Below are 13,436 nucleotides of genomic sequence, written 5' to 3'. Positions count from 1 at the left end.
CACTAATCTAGCAGTTTAATGCAAGAACTCTGGTGTGGCTTGAATTAGCCATGTGTTAGGATAAAAGCTCAAACTGATTTTTAAAAATTATGTACTTCGGCTCCAAAGCTAGCGACACAAGATGACTGTTTTCTCTAGCTCTGGCATACACCACTATTGTAGTGATGAGTAATTCTGAGCACATTTACATTCTTTAGTCAAACTTGTTGCTAAGCAACACAATTAATTTCCAAGTAGTTTCTTAATTTAGTTAACTAACACATAACTGTGCCTTACCTTTCACTGTGCCCTTCCTCTAGGGAGAATTTTTAAAAACCTTCTCCAAGGCATCCTTATCCCTACCCATTGTTGAATCACTGAAGTGGCTTCTAAAGCTTTGGAGATGGTGACTTTATCCTTACTCATATTCCCATATTTCCCCCAGGAGCACTTTCTGAGAAGTGCTTTAAGAGCAAAAACATAAGCTAGGTAACTTGTACCAGAATGTGATGTGTTTATGAGTTGGTCAAATGAATTGTACCTGTGGGACAATAACCATGTATTGTCCCCTTGGAGTGGACTTGCTTATGAATAGAAGCACTTAGCTGAAAAGGAAATGGGAAACATAACTAGGAAGTATGTTGATGAATAAAATTTCTGTCCACCAAAAAGTAAAGAATCTGAAACTAGAAGTCAGATTTATCTGTTACCCAATTGCCATACAAAAAAGATTTTATTTTATTTTATTTTATTTTATTTTTACTTTCTCAAAGGTACTTTTTAGTATAATTCCTACTTAAGTATTCTTCAAGGGGAGTCATTTACTCTGGAAAAAAGTATTCCTTAAATAGGATTGTTTTATAGATGGGAGAAAACAGGAAGGAATAATGTGGCACAAGTACATATTTCATCAAAACCTCTCCGTTTCTAAATTGAATTACCTAGGAATAATAACTTCTATACCAACTACACCTAAAGAATAACATTTGAACTGAGAGAGTCTGAAATGTAAATGATAACTGAGGGTCTTGTTGCCATAGGAACTAGAGGGATTTCCATTAATTAAAGGTTACTGTAGAAGGCTGATGGGCTGTAGCCCATTTGGAAAGGTGCCCACCTGTACTATGCACCAGATAAAAATACATTTACCTTGGTGCTGGTATATGCCCATTGGCCTAACTAAACAGTTGGTGTTTGGGTAACTCCTTTTTTTTTTTTTTTGAGATGGAGTCACTCTGTCGCTCAGGCTGGAGTGCAGTGGTGCGATCTCGGCTCACTGCAACCTCCGCCTCTTGGGTTCAAGTGATTTTCCTGCTTCAGCCAACTGAGTAGCTGGGACTACAGGTGCATGCCACCAGGCCCGGCTAATTTTTGTATTTTTAGTAGAGACGGGGCTTCACCATGTTGGCCAGGATGGTCTCGATCTCCTGACCTCCTGATCCACCCTCCTCGGCCTCTCAAAGTGCTGGGATTACAGGCATGAGCCCACTGCGCCCGGCCTGGATAACTCTTTATTTGTGTATATTTCTTTATTTAGTGTCTTGTCTTGCAGGGAAAAAGACCAAGACTATGGTATCCACTCATGCTCAGTGATTTGTAGAGTGATGGGGGCTCATGACTTTAGATACCACCTGTAAGTCCCAGGGAGGTTTTTAAACTTCGTTTTCAGATTGAGTTTGAAAATAGGTGGTTTCTCTCATTTGCTTTTAAACATCATATCCCTTGCCTATAGTTTGCAAATTATAAAACTCTAAATGAAAATGGAGAAATACTTCGTAATCTCTTTTTTTCATCCTCTCACTTTTAGTAATTTCATTCTTAGAATTCACATAATCCCCATAATTTATCCAAATATTCTTTTTTTGGCACAGCCAGATTCTGCTCCTGCTCCAAAAACTGGTACTTTCTTTTCTTTTTGGATATAATGGAGAAAATATAGTAATGGGCAACAAATTCTTCTATCTACCTTTCAATTACAATATGCAAGCCACTGGTCACTGTGGGCCATGGCATGTGTATCCCAAAGCTGGCTAGCTGCCTGCATGTTTTTACGTATTTTAGGTAAAATACCTGCTCATTCTGTTTCTCTAGGAATTCTAGATGTTCAAGCTGGACTTTTTTCAACTGATCCATTTCTTTGGACTGCTTCATGGCAAGCTGCAAAAAAAAAAAAAAAAAAAATTCTGATTGAACTTTGGGTTACAATCTTAAAACAGGGATGAGAGATGACTTGTAACTTTATAATTTAAGTGAAAGAGATAATAATTTTTTAAAAAATCATCTCAAAATTTGGAGAGTTTAAACTCATAATTATTTCTGGGAAGATCTTTCCTGCTAAAATCTTAGAAAATAATAGAGGACTTACGCATGACTAAACCTGGCTTCATTTTCTGTATAAAATGGTGCCAAATCATTACCTTAAAGATTTTAGTGAGACATTATTTTAGCTTTCAGGGAGCAGAGAAGCTGGAATGTTTAATGTACAGAAAAATCAAATTAAACAAATTAGCTAGAGATCTGGTGGCTAAGCATGTTATTGTTTATAGTTTTTTAAAGGAAGAATGCCAAAAATATAATAAAATACTTACTCTCTTTCTTTCTTCCAGAAACTTTTTAGTGTTGCTGCTGTTTAACTCCCTGACTCGCCTAAAAGCAATGGGCACAAATAACGGTTGGTATGACATTGAATGAAATTAATATTATATCAAATAATAAAGAGCTATATTCCATCAAATTCTCTGGATGGAATTATTGCTTTATTTTTCTAATTGTTATTGCAGTATTTTCAAACATATAATGTCCAGAGAAGAATATTTAAAAATCTGTGTATGTGTCCCTCAGATTAACTGATATTTTTAATGTTTTGCCATGTTTATCTCACATTTTTAAAGGCAATAAACAGTTCCAGATGTAATTAAAGCCCCATGTGTATTCTTCCTGATTCAGTTTTCCTTATTCCTCTCTCCCCAGAGGTTACCACTATTGTGAATTTGGTGTGGATCTTCTCACCCATGTTTTAATATTTTAAACCACATACAGATGTGCCCATGTGTAATATAAGAGCTTCTCAAACTTTCCTGTGCATACCAATCACCTGGAGAGATGATAAAAACCACAGACTGTTGTGCCTTCCCCTTAGTGACTTTGATCCAGTGGGCCTGGGGTGGGAGGTCTGAATTTCTAGTAAGCTCCCAGGTGATGCTGATGTTGCTGGCCAGGCACAGTGGCATCGCTTCCTGTGTTTTCTAAATGTACCCATAGAGTAACATAGTCTGGGTTTCTTCCCATAGCTTACCACTTAGTCTTATGTTTTAGAGATACACCTATGTTCCAGACCACTTCATTATTTTCATTTGCTGTATGGACTTTTCAATTTATGAACAGACTACACTATTTCCTCATTGCCATTAACAAAAATTAGGTTATTTTCAAACAACGCTACAACGATCGGGTGCGTGGGCCCTGTAATACCTGACACAATAAGTGTCTGTTGAATAAACAGATGAGTGGATGAAGTATGGTGCATATCTTCTTGTGCACACAGGCAAAGGCTGCTGTAGGGTGTATACTCAGACTTGTCACTTGGCAGGGTACGAACAGGCTCTTCCTTACTCCAATCCAGTTGTCCCCAACTGCATTTCCATCTGCAGTGTCTGGGTGTTACCCTTTCCCCATATCTTTGCCCACTCTTAGTACTATCAGACTTTCTGTCAGTTGGATGCTCCTATGGAATGGAGCTTATTGTCTTAACTTGCATTTCCCTGACTACTGGTGAGGTAGAGTGTTTTTCATGAGTGAAAAGACCTATAACTTCTTGAACTTCTGTAATAATTGCCAGTCTGTTCAGGTTTTCTCCATTTTCAGTCAGTTTTGGATATTTATATTTTTCAAAGCAATTCTCCACTCCATCTAACGTTTCAAATTTATTGGTAGTTTTTTTTAATAGTAGACTTAGTTTTTCAAAGCGTTTTTCTCTGTAGTTAATTCCCCTTTTCATTCCTAACATCACTAATTCGTGCTTTCTCTCTCTTCTTTAGTCTTGGTGAAAGTTAACTGATTTATTATTCTTTTCAAATAAGCTTTTGTTTTTCTGAATGTTCTCTATTGCATTTTGTTTTCTATTTCAGTATTTTTTGCTTTTTAAATTTATTTCTTTCCATCAGAGATCTTTGGGTTCACTCTGTTTTTCCAACTTCATATTCTCTTTGAGTGGTTAGCTCATTAATTTTCACATCTTTTAAAAAATATATGCATCTAGGCTATATTTTTCCCTCCAAATATCACTTTAACTACCCTCTACACATTGATAAATAGTGTTTACATTGTCATTCAGTTATAAATATTGGGTAATTTCTGTTAAAATGTCTTCTTTGATCTAAAAATGTAAGTATGATTTTCAGTTTCTATGTATCTTTCTTAGTGCTATGACAAATTTTTAAATTTTATTTCTCCTCAGTTTGATAAAGTGGATACAAACATACACACAGTATGGGTTTAGAATATAACTATCATTTGGTATAGAAAAATTATTTTTTAAAAAACAGCCAATTTGTAGATATTTTGGAACCACATACCACTGGATACAAACTTATAAGAGATAGCAGAGTAGGGTGACTATACTTAGCCACAAATGTATAGTACTTGGGTGATGGACAACCTAAATGCCCTGACTTGATCACTGGGCATTGTATACATGTAAAGTTTTCTCACGTACCCCCATACAGTTGCACAAATAAAAATAGAAAGTTACAACAAATAAGTACAGTTTTCAAAATAAGATAAATTTTTAAGACCCTTGCTAATTAAGTTAGCAGTAACTCCAAATTGAAGATAATTTGACCTCAACCGAGCTAAAGTCTACTTTGTAACATATTTGAAAAAGATGGTAAAAAGCTATTAATTGGCACATTTGTCATGGTTAATTCTATATTTCACTTTGGATAGTCTAAAACAGTTCAAATTCATGAGGTTTTATCATGGCTGGAATATTTGGTGTTTTCAAACTGAAGAAGGTGTCATTTCCATGTATATAAGGCCCTTAAACAAAGTTGCTTATCTGAGAATAACATCCAGAGAATGACATTTTTTCTTTTCTTTTTTTTTTTGAGATGGAGTTTTGCTCTGTTGGCCAGGCTGGAGTGCAATGGCAGGATCTCGGCTCACTGCAACCTCCGCCCCTGGGGTTCAAGCAATTCTCCTGCCTCAGCCTCCTGAGTAGCTGGGATTACAGGCAGGTACCACCACACCCAGCTAATTTTTTTGTATTTTTAGTAGAGGTGAGGTTTCACCATGTTGGTCAAGCTGGTCCCAAACTCCTGACCTCAGGTAATCTGCCCACCTCGGCCTCCCAAAGTGCTGGGATTACAGGTGTGAGCCACTGCACCTGGCTCATAAAACAGCTTTTCTCTGTTGGACTTTGGCCAAAAGGCCACCTTCTTGCTAGGTATTATTCCCCCAAAAGAAGGAACCCCACTGTCCCTAACTGCTGGTGGCGTAATCCAGGCTCTTGGTTATGGAGCTGATAGCATTTGTATTCTCAGATGTTCCTTGAGGTGGATGATGGGCAGCACTGGTGATCGCTGGGAATTAAGTGCCTATCCCTTGGGTAACATGACTATTGACAGCTCCTCAGATCCCCTTCACCAGCTGTGTCTAAAGGGCTTGCACTTGGCACCTTCTATAGAGGACACACAAACCTTCCCCCCAGTCTCAGGCGGCCAATGACTGCCTAATATGGAAACACAAAAGCCAGGTACTCTTGCTTCAAAGAGGGACAAATCTGTGGTGGAATTTTTTATTTGAGGTTACTGGGACCCTAGGTGAGACCACATCCTTGCTTAGGGCCTGCCCTGGGCCTTCCTGCTTTCTCACTCCCTTTCTCTGAAGGTCCCTTCCTCAGTGAATCACAAGCACATCAATTCCTGCCTTGATCTGCTTCCAGAAAACTCACCTAACATAAGGACAAATGAGACAAATGGGATGGGGGCTTTCAAGATGATCCCATGTGAAGGACTACTGAAGAAGACCGCCCTCCTGACTGTTGCTGCTATTCAGAACTGGCCCATCCAGAACGGACTGACACCTGAGCAGGGGAGAGGCTTGCAGAATGACCCAGTGGAACCTGGGAAGGATGCTTCAGAATTATATTGATTATAGGCTGGGCGCAGTGGCTCACGCCTATAATCCCAGCACTTTGGGAGGCTGAGGCGGGCAGATCACTTGAGGTCAGGAGTTCAAGACCAGTGTGGCCAACATGGTGAAACCCCATCTCTCCTAAAAATACAAAAATTAGCCAGGTGTGGTGGTGCATGCCTGTAATCCCAGCTACTAGGGAGGCTCAGGCAGGAGAATCGCTCAAACCCAGGCAGAGGTTGCAGTGAGCTGAGATTGTGCCACTGCACTCTAGCATGGGTAATAAAGCAAGACTCCATCTCAAAACAAACAAGCAAAAAAAAAAATGAATAAAATAAAAAAAAGAATTATATTATTATGTCATATTTTATGCAACTTTGTTTGTAAAGCAGCACATATATATTGAATGTAAACTAATTTTACTGGTGGTAGTAAGCAACCAGAAAATGTGGACGATTGTTCTACAGTGATAATAACAAATCTCCATTGCAGTTATAATAGCAGAATTCCTAGTCAAAAGCCACAAGTGTTTTGCTGTCTCAGTTGTGTGTGTGTGTACACACATAAAGAAAGTTGAGACTGTGTCCTCAAGTCAATGCCATATTCCTGCAGTGAACACTCTCAGACTTACCTTTCCCGTTCTGCTTTATTCTTGATAGATTTATCTTGGCTGATGGCTTTGCTATTTTCCATAGAAATCTTAGCCTGGTGTGCTCGCATTTCCTTGCTTTCCCTATGTATTAAAAACAAGAAAACAAACAGGGAGGGGGGATGGAGAGTTTGTGTTTAATGGGTAGAGAGATTCACCTGGGGAAAATGAGAAAGTTCTAGAGGTGGGTGGCAGTGACGGGTACACAACAAAGTGAATGTACTTAATGTCATGCACTTAATGGTTACAACAGTAAAGTTTACATTTTATATATATAGACATAATTTAAGCATGGAAAAAAACAAAAATACTTCTGTTTATAGCAATATGACTAGGCTCACTCCTCTCACTCTTCTTTTTTTTTCTTTCTATTATTGAGCTCATCGACTTCTGTATTTTGGAAAAAGGAGGGACGGGACCCCAAGCTATGTGGATGCTGATCCTTGAGGGGCAGTGGCCACCTAGTGGTGAAGTGACAGTGATGGCCTGTGATGAGGAGACAGTATTTTTGCCCATAAATATAAAGATCTCAGTTTTGCTTCATATTATTTGGGATCAGATGGGCTGGAAGAGAGAGAGAAAATGTTCTAACCATCACAAACGGCCTTCCTGTTTCTATCAGCCACAGGAATGAAAGGGACTAAATGGTTTCAAGTAAGCACAGGGAATAGCAAAAAAGTAGGTTTGCAGGTGACCAACCACTGCATGTGGGAATGCATGTGTATGCATGACACACATGCATTAAAGGAATAAAACTTAAAATGCTACATAGTATATTATTACAAAAATTTTTTTCTATAACCTATGGAGATCTATTGAAAGCACTGCCTGGAAACCAGCATACAAGCAGTCAGGTTACCTAGGCACTGCTATTTGCTCTGCATCCAAAGAGATGGGCAATACTGAACTGGAGAGTTGCTCACTCAGCTACCCTAGAGCCACTCCAGCAGGAACATGTATAGAAACTCTGGACACAAGAAGATCACTCTCAGATTTTACCATAACTTGTTAGGAAATTGACCTTTCTGTATTCATTCATTCAACAAACACCAATGACCAAACGTTGCTGACAAATGTCAAGAAAGCAAAGATTTTTAACCAAGAATAATAGTTGTGATCATGAGGAAGAAACACAACCACCAGGGGTTTGAGAAAAAGCTAAAATACTGCTGTTGCTTTGAAAAGTGCTTCTGCCATGGATTTATTTTATTTATTTATTTATTTTTTATTATACTTTAAGTTCTAGGGTGCATGTGCACAACGTGCAGGATTGATACATAGGTATACATGTGCCATGTTGGTTTGCTGCACCCATCAACTCGTCATTTACATTAGACATTTCTCCTAATGCTATCCCTCCCCCAGTCCCCCACCCTCCAAAAGGCCCGGTGTGTGACGTTCCCTACCCTGTGTCCAAGTGTTCTCACTGTTCAATTCCCACCTATGAGTAAGAACATACGGTGTTTGGTTTTCTGTCCTTGTGATAGTTTGCTGAGAATGATGGTTTCCAGCTTCATCCATGTCTCTGCAAAGGACATGAACTCATCCTTTTTTATGGCTGCATAGTATTCCATGTTGTATATGTGCCACATTTTTTTAATCCAGTCTATCACTGATGGACATTTGGGTTGGTTCCAAGTCTTTGCTATTGTCAATAGTGCCACAATAAACACATGTGTGCATGTGTCTTTATAGTAGCATGGTTTATAATTCTCTGGGTATATACCCAGTAATGGGATTGCTGGGTCAAATGGGATTTCTAGTTCTAGATCCTTGAGGAATCGCCACACTGTCTTCCACAATCGTTGAACAAATTTACACTCCCACCAACAGTGTAAAAGCGTTCCTATTTCTCCACGTCCTCTCCAGCATCTGTTGTTTCCTGACTTTTTAATGATCGCCATTCTAACTGGCGTGAGATGGCAACTCTTGTGGTTTTGATTTGCATTTCTCTGATGACCAGTGATGATGAGCATTTTTTCATGTGTCTGTTGGCTGCATAAATGTCTCCTTTTGAGAAGTGTCTGTTCATATCCTTTGCCTACTTTTTGATGGGGTTGTTTTTTTCTTGTAAATTTGTTTGAGTTCTTTGTAGATTCTGGATATTAGCCCTTTGTCAGATGGGTAGACTGCAAAAATTTTCTCCCATTCTGTGAGTTGCCTGTTCACTCTAATGGTAGTTTCTTTTGCCATGCAGAAGCTCTTTAGTTTAATTAGATCCCATTTGTCTGTTTTGGCTTTGGTGGCCATTGCTTTTTGTTTTAGTCATGAAGTCCTTGCCCATGCCTATGTCCTGAATGGTATTGCCTAGGTTTTCTTCTAGGGCTTTTATGGTTTTAGGTCTGACATTTAAGTCTTTAATCCATCTTGAATTAATTTTTGTATAAGGTGTAAGGAAGGGATCCAGTTTCAGCTTTCTACATATGGTTAGACAGTTTTCCCAGCACCATTTATTAAATAGGGAATCCTCTCCCCATTTTTTGTTTTTGTCAGGTTTGTCAAAGATCAGATGGTTGTAGATGTGTGGTGTTATTTCTAAGGGCTCTGTTCTGTTCCATTGGTCTATATCTCTGTTTTCGTACTAGTACCATGCTGGTTTGGTTACTGTAGCCTTGTAGTATAGTTTAAAGTTGGGTAGCATGATGCCTCCAGCTTTGTTCTTTTTGCTTAGGATTGTCTTGGCAATGAGGGCTCTTTTTTGGTTCCATATGAACTTTAAAATAGTTTTTTCCAATTCTGTGAAGAAAGTCATTGGTAGCTTGATGGGGATGGCATTGAATCTATAAATTACCTTGGGCAGTATGGGCATTTTCACGATACTGATTCTTCCTATCCATGAGCATGGAATGTTCTTCCATTCATTTCTGTCCTCTTTTATTTCATTGAGCAGTGGTTTGTAGCTCTCCTTGAAGAGGTCCCTCACATCTCTTGTAAGTTGGATTCCTAGGTATTTTATTCTCTTTGTAGCAAATGCAAATGGAAGCTCACTCATGATTTGGCTCTCTGGTTGTCTGTCATTGGTGTATAGGAACGCTTGTGATTTTTGCACATTGATTTTGTATCCTGAGACTTTGCTGAAGTTGCTTATCAGCTTGAGGAGATTTGGGGCTGAGATGAAGGGGTTTTCTAAATATACTATCATGTGATGTGCAAACAGGGACAATTTGACTTCCTCTTTTCCTAAATGAATACCCTTTATTTCTTTCTCTTGCCTGATTGCCCTGGCCAGAACTTCCAACACTATGTTGAATAGGAGTGGTGACAGAGGGCATCCTTGTCTTGTGCCAGTTTTCAGAGGGAATGCTTCCAGTTTTTGCCCATTCAGTATGACATTGGCTGTGGGTTTGTCATAAATAGCTCTTATTAATTTGAGATACATTCCATCAATATCTAGTTTATTGAGAGTTTTTAGCATGAAGGCCTGTTGAATTTTGTTGGCCTTTTCTGCATCTATTGAGATAATCATGTGGTTTTTGTTATTGGTTCTGTTTACGTGATGGATTACATTTATTGATTTGCATATGTTGAACCAGACTTGCATCCCAGGGATGAAGCCGACATGATCATGGTGGTTAAGCTTTCTGATGTGCTGCTGGATTTGGTTTGCCAGTATTTATCTTATTGAGGATTTTTGCATGGATGTTCATCAGGGATATTGGTCTAAAATTCTCTTTTTTTGTTGTGCCTCTGCCAGGCTTTGGTATCAGGATGATGCTGGCCTCATAGAATGAGTTAGGGAGGATTCCCTCTTTTTCTGTTGATTGGAATAGTTTCAGAAGGAATGGTATCAGCTCCTCTTTGTATCTCTGGTAGAATTCGGCTGTGAATCTGTCTGGTCCTGGACTTTTTTTGATTGGTAGGCTATTAATTATTGCCTCAACTTTAGAGCCTGTTATTGGTCTATTCAGAGATTCAACTTCTTCCAGGTTTAGTCTCGGGAGGGTGTATGTGTCCAGGAATTTATCCATTTCTTCTAGATTTTCTAGTTTATTTGCATAGAGGTGTTTATAGTATTCTCTGATGGTAGTTTGTATTTCTGTGGGATCGGTGGTGATATCTCTTTTATCATTTTTTTATTGCATCTTTTTTATTCTTCTCTCTTTTCTTCTTTATTAGTCTTGCTAGCAGTCTATCAATTTTGTTGATCTTTTCAAAAAACCAGCTCCCGGATTCATTGATTTTTTTGAAGGGTTTTTTGTGTCGCTATCTCTTTCAGTTCTGCTCTGATCTTAGTTATTTCTTGCCTTCTGCTAGCTTTGGAATTTGTTTGCTCTTGCGTCTCTAGTTCTTTTAATTGTGACGTTAGGGTGTCAATTTTATATCTTTCCTGCTTTCTCTTGTGGGCATTTAGTGCTATAAATTTCCCTCTACACACTGCTTTAAATGTGTCCCAGAGATTCTGGTATGTTGTGTCTTTGTTCTCATTGGTTTCAAAGAACATCTTTATTTCTGCCTTCATTCCATTATTTACCCAGTAGTCATTCAGGAGCAGGTTGTTCTGTTTCCATGTAGTTTTGCAGTTTTGAGTGAGTTTCTTAATCCTGAGTTCTAATTTGATTGCACTGTGGCCTGAGAGATAGTTTGTTGTGATTTCTGTTCCTTTACATTTGCTGAGGAGTGCTTTACTTCCAATTATGTTGTCAATTTTAGAATAAGTGTGATGTGGTGCTGAGAAGAATGTATATTCTGTTGATTTGGGGTGGAGAGTCCTGTAGATGTCTATTAGGTCTGCTTGGTGAAGAGCCGAGTTCAAGTCCTGGATATCTTATTAACCTTCTGTCTCATTGATCTGTCTAATATTGACAGTGGGGTGTTAAAGTCTCCCATTATTATTATGTGGGAGTCTAAGTCTCTTTGTAGGTCTCTAAGGACTTGCTTTATGAATCTGCATGCTCCTGTATTGGGTGCATATATATTTAGGATAGTTAACTCTTCTTGTTGAATTGATCCCTTTACCATTATGTAATGGCCTTCTTTGTCTCTTTTGATCTTTGTTGGTTTAAAGTCTGTTTTATTAGAGACTAGGATTGCAACCCCTGCTTTTTTTTTTTTTTTTTTTTTGCTTTCCATTTGCTTGGTAGATCTTCCTCCATCCCTTTATTTTGAGCCTGTGTGTGTCTCTGCATGTGAGATGGGTTTCCTGAATTCAGCACACTGATGGGTCTTGACTCTTAATCCAGTTTGCCAGTCTGTGTCTTTTAATTGGGGCATTTAGCCTATTTACATTTAAGGTTAATATTGTTATATGTGAATTTGATCCTGTCATTATGATGTTAACTGGTTATTTTGCCCATTAATTGATGCAGTTTCTTCCTAGCCTCGTTGGTCTTTACAATTTGGCATGTTTTTGCAGTGGCTGGTACCGGTTGTTTCTTTCCATGTTTAATGCTTCCTTCAGGAGCTCTTATAAGGCAGGCCTGGCGGTGACAAAATCTTTCAGCATTTGCTTGCCTGTAAAGGATTTTATTTCTCCTTCACTTATGAAGCTTAGTTTGGCTGGATATGAAATTCTGGGTTGAAAATCCTTTCTTTAAGAATGTTGAATATTGGCCCCTACTTTCTTCTGGCTTGTAGGGTTTCTGCCGAGAGGTCCGCTGTTAGTCTGATAGACTTTCCTTTGTGGGTAACCCGACCTTTCTCTCTGGCTGCCCTTAACATTTTTTCCATCATTTCAACCTTGGTGAATCTGACAATTATGTGTCTTAGGGTTGCTCTTCTCGAGGAGTATCTTTGCGGTGTTCTCTGTCTTTCTTGAATTTGAATGTTGGCATGCCTTGCTAAGTTGGGGAAGTTCTACTGGATGATATCCTAAAGAGTGTTTTCCAACTTGGTTCCATTCTCCCCATCACTTTTGGGTACACCAATCAAACACAGATTTGGTCTTTTCACATAGTCCCATATTTCTTGGAGGCTTTGTTCCTTTCTTTTTACTCTTTCTTCTCTAATCTTTTCTTCTTGCTTTATTTCATTAATTTGATCTTCAATCACTGATACCCTTTCTTCCACTTGATCGAATCAGCTATTGAAGCTTGTGCATGTGTCACGAAGCTCTCGTGCCATGGTTTTCAGCTCCGTCAGGTCATTTAAGGTCTTCTCTACACTGTTTATTATAGTTATCCATTCATCTAGCCTTTTTTCAAGGTTTTTAGCTTCCTTGCGATGGGTTTGAACATGCTCCTTTAGCTCAGAGAAGTTTGTTATTACTGACCTTTTGAAGCCCACTTCTGTCAACTTGTCAAAGTCCTTCTCCATCCAGCTTTGTTCCATTGCTGGCAAGGAGCTGCGATCCTTTGGAGGAGAAGAGGTGCTCTGGTTTTTAGAATTTTCAACATTTCTGCTCTGGTTTCTCCCCATCTTTGCGGTTTTATCTACCTTTTGTCTTTGATGTTGGTGACCTACAGATGGGGTTTTGGTGTAGATGAACTTTTTGTTGATGATGATGCTATTCCTTTCTGTTTGTTAGTTTTCCTTCTACTAGTCAGGTCCCTCAGCTGCAGGTCTGTTGGAGTTTGCTGGAGGTCCACTCCAGACCCTGTTTGCCTGGGTATCACCAGCGGAGGCTGCAGAACAGCAAATATTGCTGCCTGATCCTTCCTGTGGCAGCTTTGTCCCAGAGGGGCACCCACCTATATGAGGTGTCTGTCGGCCCCTGCTTGGTGGTGTCTCCCAGTTAGGC

General features: G+C 39.0%; 1 protein-coding gene across 20 annotated transcripts in view; it reads right to left on the bottom strand.

Moving 5' to 3' along the window:
- Window positions 1-13,436, bottom strand: part of PLCB4 (phospholipase C beta 4) — a 412,131-nt gene that overhangs the window by 5,394 nt on the left and 393,301 nt on the right. For all 20 annotated transcript variants that reach the window (XM_024451898.2, NM_001377134.2, XM_005260724.3 and 17 more), the window contains 3 exons: window positions 6,743-6,844; window positions 2,568-2,625; window positions 2,050-2,136 (listed from right to left, as the gene is read on the bottom strand). In XM_024451898.2, coding sequence (XP_024307666.1) covers window positions 2,050-2,136; window positions 2,568-2,625; window positions 6,743-6,844 — 247 coding nt within the window. The remainder of the gene's footprint in view (window positions 1-2,049; window positions 2,137-2,567; window positions 2,626-6,742; window positions 6,845-13,436) is intronic.

Source organism: Homo sapiens, chromosome 20 (assembly GCF_000001405.40).
Source record: "Homo sapiens chromosome 20, GRCh38.p14 Primary Assembly".
Taxonomy (NCBI): domain Eukaryota; kingdom Metazoa; phylum Chordata; class Mammalia; order Primates; family Hominidae; genus Homo; species Homo sapiens.
Note: the sequence above shows the minus strand (reverse complement) of the source record. Positions and strands in the feature narration are given on the sequence as shown.